Here is a 24,208-nt window from a genome sequence, read left to right on the forward strand (position 1 = left end):
CCTTATGAGAATCTAATGATAAATGTAATGCATTTGCATCATTCTGAACCACCCCCACCCCCACAAGCTCAGTCCATGGAAAAATTGTCTTCCCTGAAACCAGTCCCTAATGCCAAAAATGTTGGGGACCACTGATTTATTTAGTGCATTTTTGCTACATTATTTGCAAAATTTTGCTAGTATTTACTACATTATCTGCATTATTTTACAACATTTACAAGATAATTTGCATTTCTGCTACATTATGCAACTCTACCTTTTGCAAATAACCAATATATAAAGCTTTGTATGCATCTAGGATATAATTTATGTCTCATATCAACCCTGAGAGATTATGCAATAGAAGTGTTATTCTCTAAGGAACCGAAGTATGAACAGAATGAACTGACCTACCCAATGTTTAACAATGAGTTAAACATATAGCTGAGTCCTGAAAAACATGTACTCCTAATACCCTCTTCAGTGGTCTTTTCCTCTCGTAGGACTTATGTGATGCTAAGGGAAATGGTCTTTCTTAAGAGTTACCCCTTTCACCAGAATGTGGACTGATATGGAAGGCAATCATCTCTCTGAGATGAGAGTGCAGTTAAGGCCAACGAAGAAAGAAGTAAAGCATCTTTCCCCCACTCTGAACCAGAACAGGAAGACTCATCTTTCTAGCTACTTGGAGCTATCAAAATGGCACTCTTCATAAGGACCTAAGTGAAGAAGCCCCACAAAAGCCAAGTAATTTCACAACATGTCATAACTAGAAGGGGTCTTAAATACCAAGTCTAACTTACCCACGTATAGATGGTGAAGCTGATATCTGGAGAAGAGAAAGGATATACCTGAAGTCACAAAAAGTAACAATATGCCAATCCTATAACTGCTGAATGGCCTTAAAATAAGGTCACTCTAAAGTTCATTTGGTAACTGTTTATCACACATCAACACAAGGTACTGTCTTTATCCCACTCTTGTACTCTAAAGTTTAAGCCTGTGTGGGTTTTTTTTGTCTCCTCAATTAACGTGAATAACCCCATCTTACTCATCTGTGTCCTCCCACAAGCTTAAACAGTTGGTGCTCAACAAGTAATTGTAGTATGACATAATGATTCCAGATATGCAAGGTTGTTTTAATATCCAAAAAATCAATTCATTAATACCCCATAATAACACAATAAAGGGAAAAAGCCATAGAATTATCTCTGTTGACACAGAAAAAGCATTTGACAAAATCTGATACCCTCTTACAAAAAAAATACTCAAGAAATGAGGAATAGAAGGCAACTTCCTTAATCTGATAAAGGCATCTATGAAAAACCCACAGTTAATATCATACTAAACTGAATGCTTTCTCCCTAAAATCAGAAACAAGACAAAGATGTCCATTTTTGCCACTTCTATTTAACATTGCACTGAAGGTTCTGGTCAGAGCAATTAGGTGGAAAAAAAAAAGAAATAAAGAAAAGAAAAAGAAATACAAGCACCTAGATTAGAAAAAAAGCAGTTTAGCTGGTTGTGGTGGCATGCACCTGTAGTCTCAGCTAATCAGGAGGCTGAGGCTGGAGGAATGCTTAAACCCAAGAAATCAAGGTTGCAGTGAACTACAATTGCACCACTGCACTCCTGCCTAGGTGGCGGAATGAGACCCTGTCTCAAAAAAAGAGTAAAACTATCTATATTCACAGATGACATAATCTTGTATATAGAAAATTCTAAGGAATCAACACCAAAAAAAAAATCTGTTGGAATTAAAAAGTTCAACAAGGTTTCAGGATACAAAAATCAACTGTATTTCTATACACAGCAATGAACAATCCAAAAACTGAAATTAAAAAAAAAAACATTTAGAATAGCATCAAAAAGAAAAACAGAAGTGTAAAACTTGTACAACCTTGAAAAAGAAAAACAAAGAAGACTAATACTTCCCAATTTCAAAACTTGATTATAAACCTAGAGTAATCAAGACAGTATGGTATTGGCATAAGAATAAAGATACAGATCAATTAAATGGAACTGAGAGTCAAGAAATTAATGCTTATGTTTGTGGTCAATTATTTTTCAACAAGAGTGCCAAGACAATGCAACGAAGAAAGAATAGTCTTTTCAACAAAGGGTGCTGAAACAACTGGATATAAACATGCAAAAGAATGAAAATTGACCTCTATCACCTCATACCACATGGAAAAACTAACTCAAAATGGATCACAGCTTTAACTGTAAGAGCTAAAAGTATAAAACTCTCAGAGGAAAACATAGGTGTAAATATTCATGACCCTGAATGGTTTCTTAGACATAACACCAAAAGCAAACAACAAAAGAAGAACTAAATAAACTGGACTACATCAAAAATAAAAACTTTTGTGCTATAAATAATGTCATCAAGAAAGCAAAAAGACAATCCACAAAATTGGAGAAAATATTTGCAAAACATATATTTGATAGGAGACTTGTATCCAGGATATATAAAGAACTCTTATAATAATAGTAAAAAAGAGGCTGGGCGCAGTGGCTCACACCTGTAATCCCAGCACTTTGGGGGGCCGAGGCAGGCGGATCATGAGGTCAGGAGATCAAGACCATCCTGGCTAACACGGTGAAACCCTGTCTCTACTAAAAATACAAAAAATTAGCTGGGCGTGGTGGCACGCTCCTGTAGTCCCAGCTACTGGAGAGGCTGAGGCAGGAGAATCGCTTGAACACGGGAGACAGAGGTTGCAGTGAGTCAAGATCGCACCACTGCACTCCAGCGTGGGCGACAGAGCAAGACTGCGTCTCAAAAAATAAATAAACAGTAAAAAGACAAACCAATTTAAAAATGGACAAAGGCTCTAAATAGACATTTGTCCCAGGAAGATATCCAAGTGGCCAATAAACACATGAAAAGATACTCAAAATCATTAGTCTTTAAGGAAATTCAAATCAAAACCATATGAGACAGATACCATTTCACACCCACTAAGATGCCTAAAATAAAAAGATAGTAACAAGTATTTACAAGGATGTGGAGAAATTAGAACTCTCATACACTGCTGGTGGAAATGTAAAATGGTACAGCCCCTTTAGAAAACAGTCAGGTAGTTCCTCAAAAAGTTAAACATAGAGTTAGCACATGACCCTGCAATTCTACTCCTAAATATATACTTAAAGGTAAATGAAAATATATATCTACACAAAAAATGTACATAAATGTTCATAGTAGCATTAGTCGCAGCCAAAAAATGGAAACAACCCAAATATCCATGAACTGATAAAGGAATAAATAAAATGTGGCATATCCATACAACAGAATTCAGCAGTAAATACAATTACATAGATAAACAGAATTCCATACAATAGAATATTTTTCAGCAAAAAAATACTGCCAAATATTATTTAGCAATAAAATGAAAAACACACATTACAACATCCATGTTTCTTTTAGGAGGACAAAATATTCTTTTTCTTTTTTTTTTTGGAGAGGGGATGGGGTATTGCTATGTCACCCCCAGGCTGGAGAGCAGTGGAACTATCATGGCCCACCTGTAACCTCAACCTCCTGGGCTCAAGCGATCTTCCCACCTCAGCCTCCCAAGTAGCTGAAACCACAGGGAGACACCACTATGCCCAGCTAATTTTATTTATTTACTTATTTATTGAGACAGGTTCTCACTCTATTACCAGGCTGGAGTGCAGTAGCATGATGTCTGCTCACTGCAACCTCTGCCTCCCGGGCTCCACTGATCCTCCCACCTCAGCCTCCCGAGTAGCTGGGACTACAGGCATGCACCACCACGCCTGGCTAATTTTTGTATTTTTTGTAGAGACAGGATTTTGCCATGTTGCCCAGGCTGGTCTCCAACTCCTGAGCTCAAGAGATCTGCCTACCTCGGCCTCTCAAAGTGGTGGGATTACAGACATAAGCCACCAGGCCTGGCCCAGATAATTTTTGAATTTTTTTTTTGTAGAGACAGGGTTTCCCTATGTTGCCCAGTCTAGTTCCCAAACTCCTAGGCTCAAAGGATCTTCCTGATTCAGCTTCCCGAAGTGCTGGAATTACAGGCATGAGCCACTATGCCCAGCCAAGACAAAATATTCTAAAACTAGATTGTAGTACTTGTACAACCCTGTGAATATACAAAAAAAAAAAAAATTGAAATTAAAACCCCACCGGAAACAAGAAAAAAAACACTGAATTGTATACACTCTAAGTAGGTGAATTTCATGGTATGTGAATTATCTCAATAAAGCTGCTAAACATACCCATACACACATACACAACTATGGTAGAATGGCAAGAATACCCACTGGACTTAAAGGGTCAGTCAAGTTGAGGTCAAATCCTGGTCTATCACTATCTATATGATCATGACTTCACACTGAACCTTAGCTTCTCTGTAAAGTTAGGATAAAAATAGTAATCCCTGCCTTCGCAAGGTGGCTGGAAGATTATGTAAGAAAACAGACATGGAAGTGCCTTGCATATAGCTAATTTCCAGAGACACATATTTTCTCTTTTTTTTTTTTTTTTTGAGACGGAGTCTCACTCTGTCCCCCAGGCTGGAGTGCAGTGGCCTGATCTCGGCTCACTGCAAGCTCCGCCTCCCGGGTTCACGCCATTCTCTTGCCTCAGCCTCCCAAGTAGCTGGGACTACAGGCGCCCGCCACTACACCTGGCTTTTTTTTTTTTTTTTTTTTTTTTGTATTTTTAGTAGAGACGGAGTTTCACCATGTTAGCCAGGATGGTCTCAATCTCCTGACCTCGTGATCCGCCTGCCTCGGCCTCCCAAAGTGCTGGGATTATAGGCGTAAGCCACTGCGCCCGGCCCACATATTTTCTCTTAATAGACATCCCTTATCACTAGTATTACTGAACAAAATAACTGAAAATGGAAGAGGACATTTTCCTCAACTAATTTAAGTAGATTTGTGTGTTTTTCCAACAAACTAAAGGGAAAATGAGCAGACCCCAATGTTTATAATGAAGAGTAAGAAGGCGCTAGAGTATGTGTACATAGGCACTCAGAGTGCAGTTCTGAATAAAGAAGGGTTAAAGTAGCTACTCCAACTGCCTTCTTCCTCTATAATCCAAACTCTGCTTTCTGTTTCAATTGGTAGACCATGACCGCCACATCACCACTGAAATAGGAAGGTGTTCAGGAGAAATAACATGATTCCCAGTTCCAGGTTGGCAGGGAGAGTAAGGTTTCCCTGTTTCTCAGCAGACACTTACTCTATGGTTGGAGGCCACACCAGGATATCACTGGTGGGCAACCAAAGATGGGAAGGAGAAAAGAACAGCTGTTTAATACTTTTGTTTACAGAAAAGAAAACCAACAGATTTGGCTAAGACCACAGAGCAAAATCATATAGCTCTAATCATGATAGGCATGTGGCAAGCAGCACTATGTTGTACAAAGAATTCTGGGCTTAAGGATAGAAAAAATCAGATCTAGTCCCAGAAGTGCTACCAAACTGCTATATAATCTTGACTAAGTCAATTTATCTCTCTCTCTTAATTACCTCTCATGTGCCTACTGATTCAGAATTTTCATAAAGTGACTACTGCATGCAAGACACTGTGCTGGAATACTGTGAACAAAACAGAGTCCTACATTTATGTAACTTATAGGATAGAACACTGCAGAAGTCAGATGTTAAAGAAATAAACAATCTAATTATAACATAATTACAACTTGTGATACACAGCCAGTGCCAATCAGGAAGTAAGATATGCGTGGGAAAGCACATATGCAGAAGAAAACTTCACCAGCAAACTCCAAATTACATATCAGAAGAAGCTTCTCTCAGCTCTCCCTCCATCTCAAACAGGGACTCAGTATTTCTTTGCTGTACAGTATGTCACCTGACTGCCTGCTTCTTAGTATAGCTGGAAGCATCATGGTCAATCACAAATAAACTAAAATGCGCGACAGATGCCAGTCAGTTGCATCAGTTACTATGAGATTTTACACAAGCCTCTTTCTCTGAGTCTGTTTCTTTATCTATAAAATGGGGATGATACTACCTATTTCACAGTACTGTTCTGAGGATAAAATAGGAAAAAGTCGTCTGGAAACTAAAACAATGAATTGGGATAACAACACTAAATCATTAAGATAAAGAGGTAAATCATTTACTCTAGTGTGCCCTCAACATTCAGTAGCAGGTTAGGCACACAACAGATCTATGCCTATCTGTTCCCATCTGTAAAACAATGATAACATCAGAACTCACTTCACAGAGTGATTGTAAGTATTAAATGAGATAACATATAGGTCAGGTACTTAGCACAGTCCCTGACACATACTTAGAAAAACATTAACTGCTATTAATTCACTTAACCTTACTTTCCTTCAATTTCCTCATCTGTGAAACAGTGATAGTAAGAGTACCTAACTTATACGATTATTATGAGGATTAAATAAAGGCTTAGAACAGTGTCTGGTACACAGTGAGTGCTAAATAAGATTATAATAATATTATTAATTTTATCTTTTAGCTGTCCCCACAATTCACATGAATACAGACCACTGGTTCTCAACAAAAGTTGATTTTGCCTTCCAGGTGACATTTGGCAATGTCTAGAGATGTTTTTTATTGTCATGTCTTGGGGAAGAGGTAGCCACTACCGGCATCTAGCAGGCAGAGGACAGGGATGCAACTAAACATCCTATGAGGCACAGGACAGCCCCATACTCCCCAAAGACTTATGCGGTCCAAAATATACACAGTACCAAGATTGAGAAATTCAAATATAGACTAAAACAAATCAAACAAAAGTTCTCTCGTGAACTCCTCTGAACTCTTTAAGAGTATATGGATCTCCCTTCTAGACTTTATTAGATAGGTATAAATGTTTTCGATATCTCCAAGACTTAGAATGAGCAAGTAATCTACAAAAGAATAGATATTCAATAGGAAAGCCAGCACTGGAACTGAGGTCTCCTGATTCCCAGACTTGTGCTGCTTCCAAGAGCTAACTCAACAATATGTCTCAGGTACCTCACAAGCATTTCCTTTCCTTCTCCCTCTTCTCCTTGGACTACCCAGTTTGAAAACAACATCTATTTCTTTTCCAGCATCATCAGAGGTCAAACACAGCACTGGCCTCTGTCCCCACCCTCCCCAGTTAAAATACCTTCCCAAGGACCTGTCCTTCTGGGGAAGCCCCAGGACACTTACAATCATGGCAGAAGGTAAAGAGGGAAACAGGCACGTCACATAGCCAGAGCAGGAGCAAGAGAGAGGGGTGCAAGAGGTGCCACACACTTTTAAACAACCAGATCTCATGAGAATTCACTCACTATCATGAGAACAGCACCAAGGGGATAGTGCTAAACCATTCATGAGAAATCCATTCCCATGATCCAACCACCTCTCACCAAGCCCCACCTCCAACATTAGGGATTACAATTAAACATGAGATTTGGGCCCAGGACACATATCCAAACTGTATCAAAGGCTTGCCTCCAAAACAGACAATGAGCTTCTTTAGGTGCTCTATAAATGTTTGTGGATGGAGCCCTTTACCTTCTCGTGTTAGGCTGAAGAACAACTTGATATTTTTAGACTGAAATCTGTGTAATTTTAACTAATGCTGTTGCTCCCAATAGAAATCTCAAGGTACACAGGTCACATGGCACTTAAAAATATATAGTTTTAGAGCTTGGTAACAGCTTCTCTAAAAGAGCTGTTTATGGAAAGACATCTAGGTCTTGCTACCAGGAAACCACAGTCCTAACGTCAGTTCTGTCACAGAACCTCTGTGTATGACATTGGGCAGATGGCTTTACCTCTCTGGAACTCAGTTATTAATCTATAAAATGGTGATTAAAATAGACTATATGATCAGTAAATTTCTTTCTAGTACTAGTACATTCTGCAAGCCTATGAAAAAATAAATTATTTTAATAAAAACCACTCACCCACAAAGACATGAGGATGAATTTGAGGCTCTAGAACTGAGCTCCTGGGTCTCTGTCTTGCCTGATTCTCTTAGCTGGAGGCAGAGTGGAAGAGTCACACCCAATGGTCCGATATACATCATTTCATTTGCCTAAGCCTGTTTCCTCATGTGAGAGGCCAGTGATTCGAAGCCATGAAGAGCATGCTATCTCCTCTATCTTTTAAATGTTAGGACTTTGGCTTTTAAGCCAAACTAAACTTTAGTTTAGTTTTTAAAAGAAAAAGCCAAAATATCTAACCAAGAAAATGAGTGCTTCTACTCTAGTTTTAAAACTAGAAGCCCTATAGAGGAGCATGCTATCTCTTCTATCTTTTAAAAGTTAGGGCTTTGGCTTTTAAAACCAAAAAGCCAAAATATCTAACCAAGAAAATAACTGCTTCTACTTCTAGTTTTAAAAGCCAAAATTATATATATACATAAAATAAAAAATGAAAGCCAAAATATCTAACCAAGAAAATGCCTGCTTCTAGAAGTACAGGGCTCACCAACATGGAAGTACACAGATACTGGAAAACTACCTGGCAGGAACTTTGAAGAGAGAGTTCAAACATGGGTTAAAGGTTGTGTTAGATGCCCCTAAAGGGAAATTTCAGTCCCTAATATTCTACAATTCTCTTTTCAGACAATTACAGAAAGAATAACCCTTAGCAGACTTCTAGAGAAAAAAAAATACCCAAGGACTTTTCTGGTCCTATCCTTTCTCCTGCCCTCCTTCTATGTCTCTACCTCAGTACAATGGGTCATTCACTTCCAGAGACATCATGGCTATACTGTACTTGCCTTCTCTTTTCTGGGTTTAACATATGGAGAGGGAAAGAGGACTAAATTGTCAAGGAAATTTAAATTGTCAAGAACCATCAGGTGCCTGGGTCTGTATCAGGGAAAATTTCTCAGGAGAGTGGGAAGGTATAAGATTGGCTCCACTCAGCAGTACCTAAGCTCAAGGTAGCCACTGGCTTCTCAGGTCACACAAATCAATGGCCCTCAAAGCATAAAGTTAGAAACCTAGTATGGATATTTAATCCAGCCCCAGTCACCCAGACTAGTCTAAGGTACACCTGTCATCGGAGAATCAGGTATTATAAACTTAATCCCCGGTGCCTCCACAGGTAACGTTGGACCATTCACTGCTTCACTCTGAGCCAAGTGTAAAATGTACCAATTCCAAGTATAAAATGAATATATCAGAAAAGATCATTTGAAAAATTTCTTCAGTACTGATTTTGTTACTCTGCTATAAAATGGTATTTTTTAGAATTTAATTAGCATCTATCCTAAACTTTCAAACATACGAGAACAAAAATAGCCAGGTGCAGGGCCTCGCATCTATAATCCTAGCTACTGAGGAGGCGGAAGCAGGAGAATAGTGTGAGGCCAGGAGTTTTGAGACCAGCCTAGGCAAAATAGTGAGACCCCCATCTCTAAAAATAAAAAATAAAGAACAAAAATAATAATAAATACTTAGCACCTACTATAAGGGCACTTACTATAAGGGTAAGTACCATACTTAACATGCCTATATCCTTTAATCTTCACAGCAATCCTAATTTATAAATGAGGAAACAAACTGAGAAAGGTTAAAAAACTTGCCCATAGTCACACAGGTAAATAGAAAACCTGGAACTTGACTCACCTCTGCTGATTCTAAATAGAACTCTTAGAATCTTTCTACTAAACCATTAATTTCCAGGCTTCTATTCCAAAATAGAATATTTACTTGGAAAGAAAGAAAACAGACAGTAGGGAAAAGATGATTAGAGATAAGCTTCAATCAGCTAGTAAAGACCTGCTGTATACAGCAAGGGAAATAACAATATGCATTGAAGCCACCAAAAAACAAGAGACCTTCTAAGCTGCTGGAAGCAAGATTCATCTGAATTCCTCCCACCTCTATCTGCCCCTCCCACCTCTACCTGCTCCTCCCACCTCTACCTGCTCCTCCCACCTCTACCTCCTCCATTAGTTTGTTCTCCAAAAGCTAGATGGGCTTGGGGATCCATATAGGCCAGGGAAAGTATGTTTACAGCTAAATAATCCAAAGGAGGCAGAGACCAACTTAGAAGACCAGTCCTTCTCACCTGCTGCTAACTCACTTGACCCCCTCCTCTCCCAAGAGGCCTGTACCATACTCTGCCTTTCAAGGGAAGGCCTTTAGCCCTGCAGACCTGGATCCTGTTCCTGAAGAAGCTTCAATCAGCTTAGAGACAGGAGATGCAGCCATCGGTATTTAATGCCCATCTCTCCAAATACCGTCTTAAAAAAAAAAAAATCTAAAGGAAAGAAGGTGAGGAAAAGGCCTAAGTTTCTTAGAGACATCTAGGTCCATTTCTCTGCCATCCTATCTGTAAAAAGGAGGGTAATCCCATACCCCTTGGGCTAGTCCTTGCTCAATGGCATCAGAAAAGCCAACCCATTTCTTTTCACTGAGAAGTCCTTTGAGAATTCAATCACTCAATCCAGTGGTTTCCAAGCTTTTTTGTAAAGTCTCTCTACCTCTTTTTCCAATCAAATCTTACAGTAATGCCAATATTTCAACAGACGAAAAGTAGAGCTTCTCTGGCTGAAATGGAGGTGGATAAGTTCTATTTCCTCAGCCTCTTCTCACCTCCCAACCTTACCCAGGTAGCTTGTGAGGCTCCACTTCAAAGCCCTAGTTTAACACTTCCTTGTTATACTTAAGGAAACTGCAGTCCAGAGAGAGAACATGACTTAGGATCACATGGTCAGTTAGTGGCAAAGCAAGAACTCAAACCCAGATGTACTGACTTCAAGGTTAGCTGATTTCCCATCTCATCACTACTCCTTTGAGATGATCATGTAAAACTGAATGTGAGTTTTTAAAAGCATTAAGTATTGGAGATGCACAGTTTCATCAGCTAATTTTCTCCACAAGTAAGAGTCAAAATGCTCAGACCTGCAAGGACCAAATCACCAGGTAACACCCAATAGCAAAGAAATCTTCTTGTGTTCCCGACCCTCACGAAAGTGTCTGGTTGCTGGTAAAACAGGCATGGTTGTGTTACCAACTTAGAAAAATTAATAGTAGAAAAATGAGACCCAGAAGGCTTCTGAAGGAATCCCTGCTCCCTTCACCCTCAGAAACTATCCCTTAAAGACATATGGGAATTCTCCTCATATCCACCATGCCTGGAACATGGAATAGAATCTTAACCTGTTTATTAAAGTTAATTCCTTAATACATGATATGTATAGCCTGGTCTCAAAATTTTTCTACCACTGTGAAAACCACTACTTGGAGGTAGCCAGCCTCTAAGATAGTACCCTATGTTCCCTGTCTCCTGGTATTTGCATCCTTGTAGAGTCCTCTCCCACAGGGTTGGTCTATGTGACTGAAAGAATACAACAGAAGTGATGGTATGTCACTTCTGAAGTTTGATTACATTAGACACAGCAGCTTCTGTTTTGATTACTCTCCTCTCTCTTGGATCTCTTCTTTGAGGAAGCCAGCTGATATGCTGTGAACTGCCCTGCCCTATGGACAGGCACACATGGCAAAGAACTGAAGCTTTTAGCCAACAGCCAGGAAGAAACTGAGGCTGGCCAACAATGAACGGCATGAGTGAACTTGGAAGGAGTTCATTCCAGCCCTGCTTGAGCCTCCAGATGACTGCAGTCCTGGGCAACAGTTTGGCTGTAACCCCATTACAGACAGTGAAGCAGAACCACCCAGCCCAGCCACTCTAAGATTCCTGACCCTCAGAAACTGTGTGAAATAATAAATGTTTATTTTTTTAAAACTGCTAGTTTTGCAGGTAATTTGTCTACACAACAATAGATAACTAATACAACCATCAAACTAAGGTTTCCTGGGTTAACATCAGAAAGCCCCGATCATGAAACCAAAAGTCCAGCCGAAATGAAACCCAAAGCCTCAAGGCTTGGGGCTTCTCCTTAAACAACAACAGTCTCTGCTGCTTATTCACAAGGTGACCTTGTGCAATTCATTTCATCTCTCTTAGCCATGGTTTCCTTATTGAAGATACAGAGATATCACCTTCCTTGCAGATTATTGTGAGGATTAAATGAGAATAGTTTCTAAAAGTATCTAAAACAGTATAGAATTATACAAAGTAGGCTGGGCCTGGTGGCTCATGCCTGTAATCCCAGCACTTTGGGAGGCCGAGGTGGGTGGATCACGAGGTCAGGAGATCAAGACCATCATGGCCAACATGGTAAAACCCCGTCTCTACTAAAAATACAAAAATTAGCCGGGTGTGGTAGCGCACGCCTGTAGTCTCAGGATGCTGAGGCAGGAGAATCACTTGAACCCAGGAGGCAGAGGTTGCAGTGAGCCGTGATCACTGCAGCCTGGCAACAGAGTGAGACTCCGTCTCTTAAAAAAAAAAAAAAAAAAAGAATTATACAAAGTAAGATTGTTATAATAGACTGTGGAAGACTCCCCAGCAAGCCCATTCCCAACAGCCACCACAAGGAGATGGCTCTGCTCAGTGAAGTCAAATGGAAAGGCCTCTACTACAACCCTTATCCAACTGTAATGTAAGTATCCCCCTCTATTACTGCCCCTCATAATAACAAGAAGCCATAATCACCAGTGCTTATTAGGTATCAAGCAAAATGCTAAGTACATTTACATTATTTCCCATGTAATACTCCATTTTACATACAGGAAAACTGAAACTTAAGAGGTTAAAATGATTTGGTTATTAATGGAGCCAGGATTGAACCTCAAATTCATGCAACTCTAAAGACCATGTTTTTTCCATTAATTCAGTAAGCTTTTAATGACACCAAGGGATCTCGAAGTATCCAAAACAGAAGGCATTCAGGTACAACTTAATAAAAGAAAAAGGAAGCAAAATCACAGTTCAAATTAATGAGAAAATTAAAAGATTCAGAAGGTGAGAATTCTGAACCTGTCTAGGGCACCAAGCAGCTGTGATATCTTCAGCAAGTTGTCTGTCAATGAAAATAAAACACCCCTCACATTTACAGTATATAGTATTCTGGAGTCTACATAGCATTTTGAAATATCTGCAAATATTTTATTGTCACAGCAACACTGGAGAGCAGTTTCAATTATCTCTCTTCTATAAATGAGCAAACTGAGACTCAAAAAGAATTCCAGTGACTTACCCATGGTTATTAAACAGATGGAACTTGCCAGACACAATATACCTAGATTTCTTTATTCTCAGACATAATATACCTAGATTTCCTTATTCTCAGAAGAGATGTACTTGAAACTGGAAAGTTTTAGGGAATGGCCAAAAGGTCACAGCAAGGACAAGAATCCAGTTTCCTTCTTATTCTCCTAACCCAGTGAGCTGCAACCAGGTACGTAAACCTGGAGAGCTCTAAAAAAAAAAAAAAAAAAACCCGACGCCTGGGTCCCATACCAACCACCATCCCCCAAATTTAACTTATTTGGTCCAGGGTGGGACGTGGGTATCATCAGGAAGCTTATATTTTTAAGTTTCCCGGGTGTGGTCATGCTCAAAAACTATTGGCCTAACCCCCAGAGCCACAGATTGAGAAATGTCCTGATTCACCCTCGTTTTCTAATGTGAAATTCTCTGAGTGAAGCCATCTAACTCTTTGTAAACTCATCACAATTACGAAGCAAAACATCTTCTATTATTGTGAATGGCCATGTAAGTTAAAATAATTTAATTTCTGTTGCCTAAGAATAAATTGTTATATACCATGCAATCAACATCTTAATGGTCATGACTAGAAATGTGGCATACAGCAACAAAATTGCTTCTAGAAAAAGAAAAGCTGCCCACAATAGTATAATATACACAAAAACAACTAAGTAAAAAAACTGAAGTTGTCTTTTTCCTCCAAATGTCCCTGTTTGGGGGATCTCAAAACTCCTTGGTTCCACCAAGATGAATTCACCTCAAGTGTCCTCTGATGGAGGTCTGAATACTGCAAGGACTTATCCCACAATATCTCTACTTCTCTCTGCTAATCCAAATCCTACCTGACCAAGTTCTTTTCCTGACCATCCAGCCTACTGTTATGGGTTGAATTGTGTCTCAAAAAAAAAAAAATGTTAAAATCCTAACCACCAATACCTTAGGATTGACCTTATTTGGAATTAGAGTAGTTACAGACGTAATCAAGTTAAAATGAGGTCATTAGGGTGGACCCTAATCCAATATAATTGGTGTCCTTATAAAAAGGGGAAATTTGGACACAAGAGACAATCACACACAGAGATAAGATTAGGTGAAAGGACAAAGGGAAAAGAAGCCATCCATAAGCCAAGAAAGGCCAGAGGGTAACAGAAACTAGGATAGAGGCCAGGCACCTCCAGAGGTGGACCTGCAAAAACCTTGATTTCAACCTTCTGGCCTCTAGAACTGAGAGACCACAAATTTCTGTTTTTCTAAGTCACCCAATCTGTGGTACAGCAGCACTAGGAAACTAATACAGCCACCTTTCTCTAAACTACTAAAGTTTGTACCCAGTTTATTTGGTGGCACTGTTCAATTTATTTTTAGTGTATATATCCTACATTCTTAATGAAATCAAAGTTTTTTAAGGGCAGAAACACTATTTTATACTTCTTTGGTATCATCTACCATTCTTAGGGAAAAACTGACCTCAGGCAAGGTATTCAGGAAACATTTGCTCTCTTGATCACTTTCTGGAAAATGTTCAACAACCACTGTTGTTTTAGAATGTGATAACCAGAAAATCACTTTTCCTACTTCCCTAATTCTGTTTCACACCGGAGTGAGCTATTTAAAAATCTACATTTCTCTTCATGAGCTTTTTATATACATAATATCTATCACATATAGAATCATGGACTGTTTGGGGCCAAGAGAGAGCTTAAAGATCATGTAGTGCAATCCTGAAGCGGTATCTTCTTCAACTTACAGATACCACTTCTCCCTTCTTGATCGTAAATGCCCTATTCTCCCTTGTCCGTTGTATTAGTTATTGATTTACAGGGCTCCTTCTCATCACCCCACCCCCACTATACAATAAGCACATTCAGGGTTGAAACTGTCTCATTCATCTTTATATCTCCAGTACTTATCACAGTTCATAGTACATGCTCAATCAACAGTTCCTAAAGTATTATTTTCTCTTTCTTTGCCACTAGTCTGCAAGCTTCTCCAAGAAAGGAAGTGAATCTTAGTCATCTTTGTATCTCTAGGGTCTAGCACTAGCATGCAGCAGATAATAAATATAATATTTGTTGTTCATGATATTAAAATGTTTGACTCACTGTCTCTATGCTAGGCTGTGCTGGCCTATCCTTTATTAAGAAGCTCAGACCCAGGCTGGGCACGGTGGCTCACACCTGTAATCCCAGCACTTTGGGAGGCCGAGGTGGGTGGATCACCTGAGGCCAGGAGTTCGAGACCAGCCTGGCCAACATGGCGAAACCCTGAATCTACTAAAAATACAAAAATTAGCCAGGCATGCTGGTGCAGGCTTGTAATCCCAGCTACTCAGGAGGCTGAGCCATGAGAAACACTTGAACCCAGGAGACAGAGGTTGCAGTGAGCCAAGATCATGCCACTACACTCCAGCCTGAGTGAAACAGCGAGACCCTGTCTCAAAAAAAAAAAAAAAAAAAAAAAGAAAGTTCAGACCCAAGGTCATATAGTTAATAGATGATGGAGCTAAGATTTGAATCCAGAACATCTCATTGAAAGGTCTATCCTCTCATGTACTTTCATGGTAAAGTTTTTATAACTCTAGATATAAATGCAACTTCAGTTTTCTATTGGTTTAACTTCCTTTGAAGTTTGTTTCTAGTTAAAATTGGCAGATTGAAAACACATTTACTTATGTTCCCTCCCAAAATCACTCTAAAATGATGGTAAAGCTATAAAAGAGGTATGAACCTCAACAATAAAGAGAATGGGTGAGGGGACATCAGACGGTAAGAGATTTCAAAAACTGTTTAGAATAATAGTGAATAGGGGAGCTGTGACAAAAAGAAAAAAAAAAAACAAAAAAGGAGAGCAAAAGAAGCTGTAATCTAGAGCCTTGCATAGTCCCTGAGCAGCAAAGATGTGTGGTCCCTGTACAACAGGATCCCTTCACCTGGAAAGAATCACTGGATTAAAACACATAAAGACATAGGAAGTATAAATCATTTACCCAAAACCACACAGAGATAAGAAGAGCTAGATCCTATTTTTGTTACCTTTCTATAACACATCCGCTATTAGCCAACTTAAAAGAATATAGGATGAATCAGCAGCCCATGCCACAAAACAAGGAGGCAGAGGTGTTTCCCAGGGTCTACATTTTGGCCTTCTTTACCAACTCCAAAAAGGTCCTTTGTGTTTGGGCTCTCCCTGGTGAGAACCTGTTCAAATAGTTGGGATAAGAATCCCATTATTCCCATTGTCTGATTCTATAGCTCTGAAAGGTAGGTTACCAGCACCTAACAAAAATAGGACAAAACTTGGAGGCGAAAGATTTCATAAGCACTAACACTGTTTCAAGTCAAAGCTGAGCTCATCTATCTTGCCCGTGGTAGTGTGAGAGAAGCAGCTTTTCATCCCTTTTTAGAACAGAACATGTCCAAAGGTAGGTGTTGTTATATCTGCTAACAAGATGAAACAGATTCTTTTTTTTTTTTTCAGGGGAAGTCTCGCGCTCAGGCTGGAGTGCAGTGGCACGATCTCAGCTCACTGCAACCTCCACCTCCCGGGTTCAAGCGATTCTCCTGCCTCAGCCTCCCAAGTAGCTGGGATTACAGGCGCCCACCACCACGCCCAGCTAATTTTTGTATTTTTAGTAGAGACGGGGGTTTCATCATGTTGGCCGGACTGGTCTCAAACTCCTGATCTCAGGTGATCCGCCCACCTCAGCCTCCCAAAGTGCTGGGATTACAGGCGTGAGCCACCATGCCCAGCCAAAATAGATTCATTTTAAAATGCCAAATTACAGAATTGCCTACAGTTGCAATTAAGGCATTAATAACTCTAGGGCTATTTCTTAATACACAATTATGAGAGTACCACAGCTATTTGCTCCTCATTCCACCACACTCCCATTTGAACTCTAGTCCATCACTGCATTAAACACATCTACATACTCAATTTGTGTGTTTTTGATGTGCACAGAAAGAATACTGAATTAGGAGTCAGAAGAATAGTTCCAAACACAACTCAAGCTTTGGAATCAGCAAGCTTGGGTTTGAATCCCAATTCTGTCTGAGTTACCAGCTGTGAGATCAGAAATTAATCATTTAATCTCTCTGGACCTCAATTACCTCATATGTAAAATGGGAGACTCATATGGGAAAAAATGGAAAAATATGTCAGAGACCTGTTGTGAGGATTGGGAATATTTATTAGGCAACTTGCACAGCAGTAAGTTACTCAATGCGTGGTACTTTCCTCTTTTATTGACCACCTGGTATTTGCTACGTATTTCTAACCTTGGAAGGGTTGTTTTGAAGAAGTGTTTAAGGAGAGGTAGAATATACAAATTACATTAATTACAATACAGTACAACACAAAATATAACACAGTACAAATATAATATAAGAAATGATGTCATAGCCATTACAACAGAGTAACACATAAACACTGAAGGAAGAAATACTAATTCTGCCTGGCACAGGAGGACAATGTCAGAGAAGGCATCAGAGACAGATATTTGAACTTGGTCTTGAAGGTTGTTGAGTGTAAGGACAGCAAGCAAAGGAAAACATGTTAAACAAACAAAATGCTATGAGACCCAAGTTAAGGGAACATGAGAAAGAATGTTTGGCTTATTTCAGCAATAGTGTGAAAACTTACAAAGAAGTGATAGGTTATACAGAACCAGAAATAAGATTAGCATGAGGAAGGGACTACCCATGGGAAGTTTTTTGTGGAAAGCAAAGTGGTATAATAGGCAAAAAGAGGTAGTCATTTGAGAAACTCTTGAAACTATTTAGCTGGAGAAGAACAGTAATAAAATCACTATTGTGATTATAAAGAATTGTCATGTGGAGGAAAGGTTGAATTCATTTTGTCTGACCCAAGGGACAGATTTAAGAAGGTGGATAGAAATTAAAAAATGATATTATACAAAAATGGCTAAGGAATATTAATGATATACAGGGTGAGTGTTTGAAATTTAAAAGAAAATGTCCCTCCTGTACGTTTTGAAATTAACCCAGAAAGCTCGAAAGAGAAACTCCTTCAATCTTAGCCTGGGCTAAGAACCCCAGGCTTTCTCTTCCTCTTTGGGGACAAGACTTGACTTGATGGGCCTTTGGTGCAACCAGGTTTGAGGAAGGTGCTTCCACCACTTCCTGAGGCCTTACACAATTCAATTCAACCTCAAAAGGGAACACTAGCCCACACAGAAACAGCTTAAAAAGAAAACTAAAGAAGGCAACGACTTTAAAGGAAACTAGGCAGTGCGCTTAAAGAGAAAAGGGCAATGGGAACAACATGAACATCAGAGGCATCAACTATCTGTTCTCATGTTAATGAAGGAAGGAAGAGCAGCAAGACCATTCAGTTCAACATCTCACTGTACACATAGAGAAACTGAAGCCCAGAAAGGGGATAGGGCAGGTAAAGCCAGGCATGAAAACAACTTAACATAAAACGTTAGAGTTCAGGCAGACTCTTTTATCATCTCACTTTTCCTCAAAATAACACAGTGAAGGAGGTGTTATTTTCCCAATGAGACACGAAGATCTTTAAAGCATTACAATGTTTGTGTTAGTTTTCCTTATGGGTTGCTGGAATGAATAATGCTTTCCTTTTCAATCCTATAGGTAAAAAAAAAAAAAAAAAAAAAATCACCCTAAGGACTGGAGCTTCTCCAGGGAAATAATGTGGACTAGGAAACAGTTTCTCAATACCCTCACCCCAATTCCCCTATTCTATCTAGGACTTTCCAATGTATTACATATTCAATTTTTTAAAAATTCTGTTTTAGCCCCTGTGCTGAGAACAGGGAGCAAAAATTCAATCAGACATGCATCTTCAAGGAGCTTCCCATTCTGAAAGCATAGACAAGCATGACAATCAATGATTATCTTTTAGTCATGAAGACTTGGTTTCAAATCCTGGGTCTGCCCTTTACTAGCTAAGGCAAGTCATTTCCTTTCATCTAAACTTCAGACTCCTTTTCTGCGAAATTGAAGGCAATACCCTCAGTCTAACTCAAAGTATTAACTTGTGAGTATTTGGAAAGATAATTATTTAAAGCACCCAGCAGAATGTCTGATCCACAGTATATATGCTCAGAAGGTATTTACTGAATTAATGGCTTACATAAAAGTATCAATTCTAGGGGTAGAGTTGGGAAGAAAGAACATCCCAGCATTATGTTTTCTCATAACCCTGGACCCACTGAGAGAATGATGTTTACCTGATCATGTGGGTTTCATGCTCCCCAACTCTTGTGCATTAAAGCCACAAATACCACCCCAGCATTAAAAACCCGAAAGAACCTGGCAGGTCCCACACAATGACTAGGGATGAAGGAAATAGCTGTCTGGCCTGACCATATTTGCAAAGGGAAGTAGGCAGCAGAGCAAGGCCTAAAAAACCCAAGACCTGAAATCCTGCAAATCCTTATGATTAAAGACTAGAAAATCCTTGTTAAATACAAATATCTCTGCAAGGTGAAGCTGGGGTGAAGAATTAGGAGCCATTAGGGATTTATGGAACTCTATGGGCCACAGAAGTTCTCCACTTTAGATAGATATTATTTCAAAAAAATACATTGGCATATCTACTGTGGGTCAGGTGTTGAAACAGCAGAGGACTTAGACATGGTTCCAGTTTTTGAGACACTTAGAATAACAGAGACAGAGATCACAATGAAAAATGGTTTCACCACTAAGGTCCTGACATACTGCTATTCAGTGGGCTGCAACTGCCTGCAGAAGTGACCCAAGTTTCCCAGTTACCAAGTTTCCTCCTCCTCTTTTTCAATCCATTTACCACAAAACCTGCCATCTCTAGAGGCCCTTCTCTGGGCAGAAGAGCTTGCCTATGTGCCACAGGAGTTTAGAATGGAAATCTGACTAACAGCAAAGCTCATACCTTACACCACCTATAGCCTCTGGAATCAAACTCCACAAAACACTTTAAAACCACAGAACAAGAAGTTCTGATGTATTTATTTTAAGACTTTAGGGAAACCATTTGAGAAGACAGAACTAAGTCTTCTGAGAATATCTCAAACATTTACTGACTACCTATTATGTTCCAGCCACCACTTTGATTCTTTATAATGGGGTTCAAGACATGCTACCCCAAAATATGACATCTTAGCATATGAGAAAACAGCAGACGCAAGAAAGTATTCTCACTCTCAGCTTCCCCTCACCCTTCTCCCCTGAAGCAGGTAATCAGATCCTCATTCAAGAGGTACCCTCCTTATTCCCAGAGGAAAGCCTCATTTTTCTCTGAAGACACAGGGACATACAGAAAAATCTGAACAAACCAGCCTTGCTAAGTTCCCTCCAACCCTGATCCTATTACCATTACATCATACCGCCTTTGTCCAATCATATTTCTCCAAGACTACCCACTTCTTCCATCAAACCTAAACATAAAAATACACAAGTTTGCCTGTTTCTTTGCATCCTCATTTCCTTATGAAGGCTCCTATGTCATGTAAAACTTGTATTAAATATATTTGCTTGCTTTTCTCTCGTTAATGTCTTTTGTTTTTTTTTGTTTTTTTTTTGAGACGGCGTCTTGCTCTGTCGCCCAGGCTGGAGTGCAGTGGCACGATTTCTGCTCACTGCAAGCTCCGCCTCCTGGGTTCATGCCATTCTCCTGCCTCAGCCTCCCGAGTAGCTGGGACTACAGGCGCCACCACCACGCCCGGCTAATTTTTTGTATTTTTAGTAGAGACGGGGTTTCACCATTTTGGTCAGGCTGTCTCGAACTCCTGACCTCAGGTGATCCGCCTGCCTCGGCCTCCCAAAGTGCTGGGATTACAGGCGTGAGCCACCACGCCCGACCTCTCTCGTTAATGTCTTTTGCTACAGGAGCCTCAGCCATGAACATAGCAATGGGAAAAATATTTCTTTTCCCCTACATTTATATATATTAATGTCCTCAAAACAACCCTGTAAGAGAGCTATTATTGTCTCAATTTTACAAAGAAAAAACTACGTTCACAGAAATTAAGTGACTTGCCCAAAATCACACAGTTAATAAGTGATGGAGCTAAAAATTCATAAGTAAATTGGCCACGTCCACTTTAAAGTCTTCATTTCATTTTTTCCCCTGCATCTCACATTTCATTCTAATGATAACGCTGTGAGGCAGAGTATCAACATAATTTCATTTTATAAATAGGAAACTGGTGCTTAAGGAAGTGATATTACTTTCTGAGAAACAGGTCAGTAAGTAGCAGAGCCACAGTTTGTACCCAGATCTCATGCCCTCAAATCTGCACTCTTTACACTACCCCACAATTCCTCTTACACTTGCCTTGCAGAGAGGTGTAGTAAAAATATACTTAATAGGGAGTCAGAAGTGCTGAGATGTGGTCTTGACTCTGTAACTAACTTATATAATATTGAATGAGCTGCTTTTCTTCTCTTGGCTTCAGTTTCTCATTCATAAAATAAGGGTGTTGAATTAGACATCTCCTAGGGTCCCCTTCAGCCAGCAACCCAACTAGTCTATGAGAAGCAGTTTCTCTAATTTCCTTGCCACTCAAGCAGTAACTTTCTAAAAGAAAAAAAAAGACTGGTTATTTACAGTATAGACGAAGGTGGAAAATGCTCAGCACCAAAGAGTAGAAATTACCCATTCAAAAGGCATATTTACCTTCCTCAAACACCCTAGATATAAAGAAAGAAGAAGCCATAAGCCACCTAATAACAGGGTTGGCACATCTAATAACAAGCCAAGTAGGAGTAAAGAGTGTGTTCATGGTAGGGCCCTTTTCCCTCTGCTGGATTCCTAACACTTCTATTCACTAGCTTTCTCTCTTCCTAGGTTGGCACATCAGCCCTGCCTCACAGCAAATCAGGCTTATGACTTTAACTAAATCCCATCAGATCTAAACAATCTACAAATGACTTTTTACTAGTATTACAGAACAAAAAAATGAAAGCCCCAGATGTAAATTCATCCATGCCAAGAAATAGGAAGAAGGAAGAAGTGGGATATATAAGATTTTGGAGGCCAGGTGCGGTGGCTCACGCCTGTAATCCCAGCACTTCAGGAGGCCGAGGCAAGCAGATCGCCTGAGGTCAAGAGTTCAAGATCAGCCTGGCCAATATGGCAAAACCCCGTCTCTACTAAAAATACAAAAATTAGCCAGGTGTATGGCGCACGCCTATAGTCCCAGCTACTCAGGAGGCTGAGGCAGAAGAATCGCTTGAACCCAGGCAGCAGAGGTTTCAGTGAGCCGAGATCGCGCCATTGCACTCCAGCCTGGGCGAAAAGAGCAAAACTCAGTCTCAGGAAAAAAAAAAATTTTTTTGGAAAAATTATTTCCCTGTCTGTCCTAGTTTCTTTATATATAAAGCAAAGGAGAGAGTCCAAACTGATTCTAAACACCTTTCCCACTGAAACTTAACATGAACTTGTAAGTATTCTATATTTAGAAAATGTGAGATATATTAAAAAAAAAAAAAACAAGGGGGAAAAGGGCATGGTATTACAAATTTTAATTACCTCACAGGAGAAAATAAAAAGGAATGAATTATAGTGCCAGGGAAGAACATAAAATATGTATGGTCACAGCAAGCTGAATACATATTAGTTATAAGAGCAAAAGGAACTGCACTATCCCTGTAACAGCCAAATAATTCATATAATGCCCCAGGGTAAGACTGCAGAGCAGAACCCATGTTCATGCAGTTAAACCAGAGCTGATCTGAATATGATCAAAGATCCAACACCAGGCTGGGTGCGGTGGCTCACACCTGTAATCTTAGCACTTTGGGAGGCTGAGGCAGGAGGATTGCTTGAACTCAGGACTTCAAGACCAGTCTGGCAATATGGCGAAACCCCATCTCTACAAAAAAATACAAAAAAATTAACTGGGTATGGTGGCACGTGCCTGTAGCCCCAGCTACTTGGCAGGCTGAAGTAGGAGGTTGAAGCTGCAGTGAACTATGATCAGGCCACTGTACTCCAGCCTAGGTGACAGAGCGAGACCTTGTCTTGAAAAATAAATAAACAAATAAATAAAATTCATACTACCTTAGCCAAGTATCATCATTCATATTCTGTAGCTCTTTACCTATTAATATGCTAAATTACGTACTAGGCACTTCCACATATATTTGTCCATTTAATTGTCTCAACACCCCAGTGGTTATATTCCCTATTTTACAGAAGGGGAGCCCGAAGCTCAATGAGGTAAAAAGACCAGGATGAGAATCCAAACTCTGGCTCCAAGTTCAATATACTCTGTCCCTATTATAACCTATCTCCTTCATTGTACAAGTCCCTCAGACACACATTATCCGGTTTTATATCTCACAACCACCACCACCTTGTGAGCTAGACATTCAAGATTCCTCATGAACTGGTCCCTATCCGTCTTTCCAGTTTTGAAATGGATGCTGTTGGCTGCCTACCCAGCATCCATTCCCTTCTTCTCCCTAACAGAGCCCAGACTTTTTTTTTTATCAGGTATTCATCCCTCATCAAACAGTTTCTAAGGCAGTTCTCAAATTTTAGCATGAAATCAAAATCATCTGGCGGGCTTGTTAAAACACAGATTCCTGGGCCCCACACCCAGAGTTTTTGATTCATAAGTCTGAGATGTGGCTCCAGAATTTGCATTTTTAGCAAGTTCCCAGAACACAACACTTTGAGAAGCACTGTTCTCAGAGAAAGCTGACCCCATTCCTAGCTCCAAGAGCAGGCCCTGATTGTACATCCAAACCAAACATGGTAATTCCATTCTCCTTGCCAGTGATTAGTTCTTGAATCAGATTTAGGTTTACTCAATCAGTACCTGGCATGTCCCTAGAAATTCTTGTAGTTCAGGGATGGGCAGGTGGTCTCTACTGGTTCAATTTCACTGAGGAGAAGAAATTTTTGTCCATTTTCTGAAATAAAATCAGTCAGTCTCTCTCCCTTTCTCTCTCTCTCTCTGTCTCTCTCATCCACTGGTGAATAAAGAAGCTTATCTCCCCAGCTGGTCTTGTCAGCCAATTTACTACCATGATGGAAGCCGGCTTGTGGATAAAGGTAACACAAGCATGATAAAAACGTCAACATGATTTAAGCCAAATTTGAGTCAGAATTTCTGTTTACCGAATTCCAAATGATACACAATTTGGTACTAGAAGAGGGTACAGCCACCTGAATATTC

At 39.8% G+C, this 24,208-nt stretch overlaps 1 protein-coding gene across 20 annotated transcripts in view, besides 4 other annotated features; it reads right to left on the reverse strand.

The window, feature by feature from the left end:
- Positions 1-24,208, reverse strand: part of PAK1 (p21 (RAC1) activated kinase 1) — a 207,993-nt gene that overhangs the window by 108,999 nt on the left and 74,786 nt on the right. Inside the window, exon 2 of one of the 20 annotated variants that reach the window (NM_001376282.1) lies at positions 22,806-22,897. The exons of the other annotated variants lie outside the window; for them this stretch is intronic. The gene's annotated coding sequence lies outside the window, so the exon portion shown is untranslated. The remainder of the gene's footprint in view (positions 1-22,805; positions 22,898-24,208) is intronic. 20 annotated transcript variants of the gene reach the window in all.
- Positions 11,673-11,742: an enhancer, noted in NCBI's record as "active region_5304". NCBI's record gives its function as "activates an Ori minimal core promoter by ATAC-STARR-seq in GM12878 lymphoblastoid cells {active_cell/tissue: GM12878}" and the evidence as "EXISTENCE:reporter gene assay evidence [ECO:0000049][PMID:35858748]".
- Positions 17,700-18,470: an enhancer, noted in NCBI's record as "OCT4-NANOG-H3K27ac-H3K4me1 hESC enhancer chr11:77159760-77160530 (GRCh37/hg19 assembly coordinates)". NCBI's record gives its function as "activates a minimal SCP1, AML or CMV promoter by ChIP-STARR-seq in primed H9 embryonic stem cells {active_cell/tissue: H9 hESC(primed)}" and the evidence as "EXISTENCE:reporter gene assay evidence [ECO:0000049][PMID:30033119]".
- Positions 17,700-18,479: a biological region, named in NCBI's record as "OCT4-NANOG-H3K27ac-H3K4me1 hESC enhancer GRCh37_chr11:77159760-77160530".
- Positions 18,050-18,479: an enhancer, noted in NCBI's record as "active region_5305". NCBI's record gives its function as "activates an Ori minimal core promoter by ATAC-STARR-seq in GM12878 lymphoblastoid cells {active_cell/tissue: GM12878}" and the evidence as "EXISTENCE:reporter gene assay evidence [ECO:0000049][PMID:35858748]".

Source organism: Homo sapiens, chromosome 11, assembly GCF_000001405.40.
Source record: "Homo sapiens chromosome 11, GRCh38.p14 Primary Assembly".
NCBI classification, from domain to species: Eukaryota; Metazoa; Chordata; class Mammalia; order Primates; family Hominidae; genus Homo; species Homo sapiens.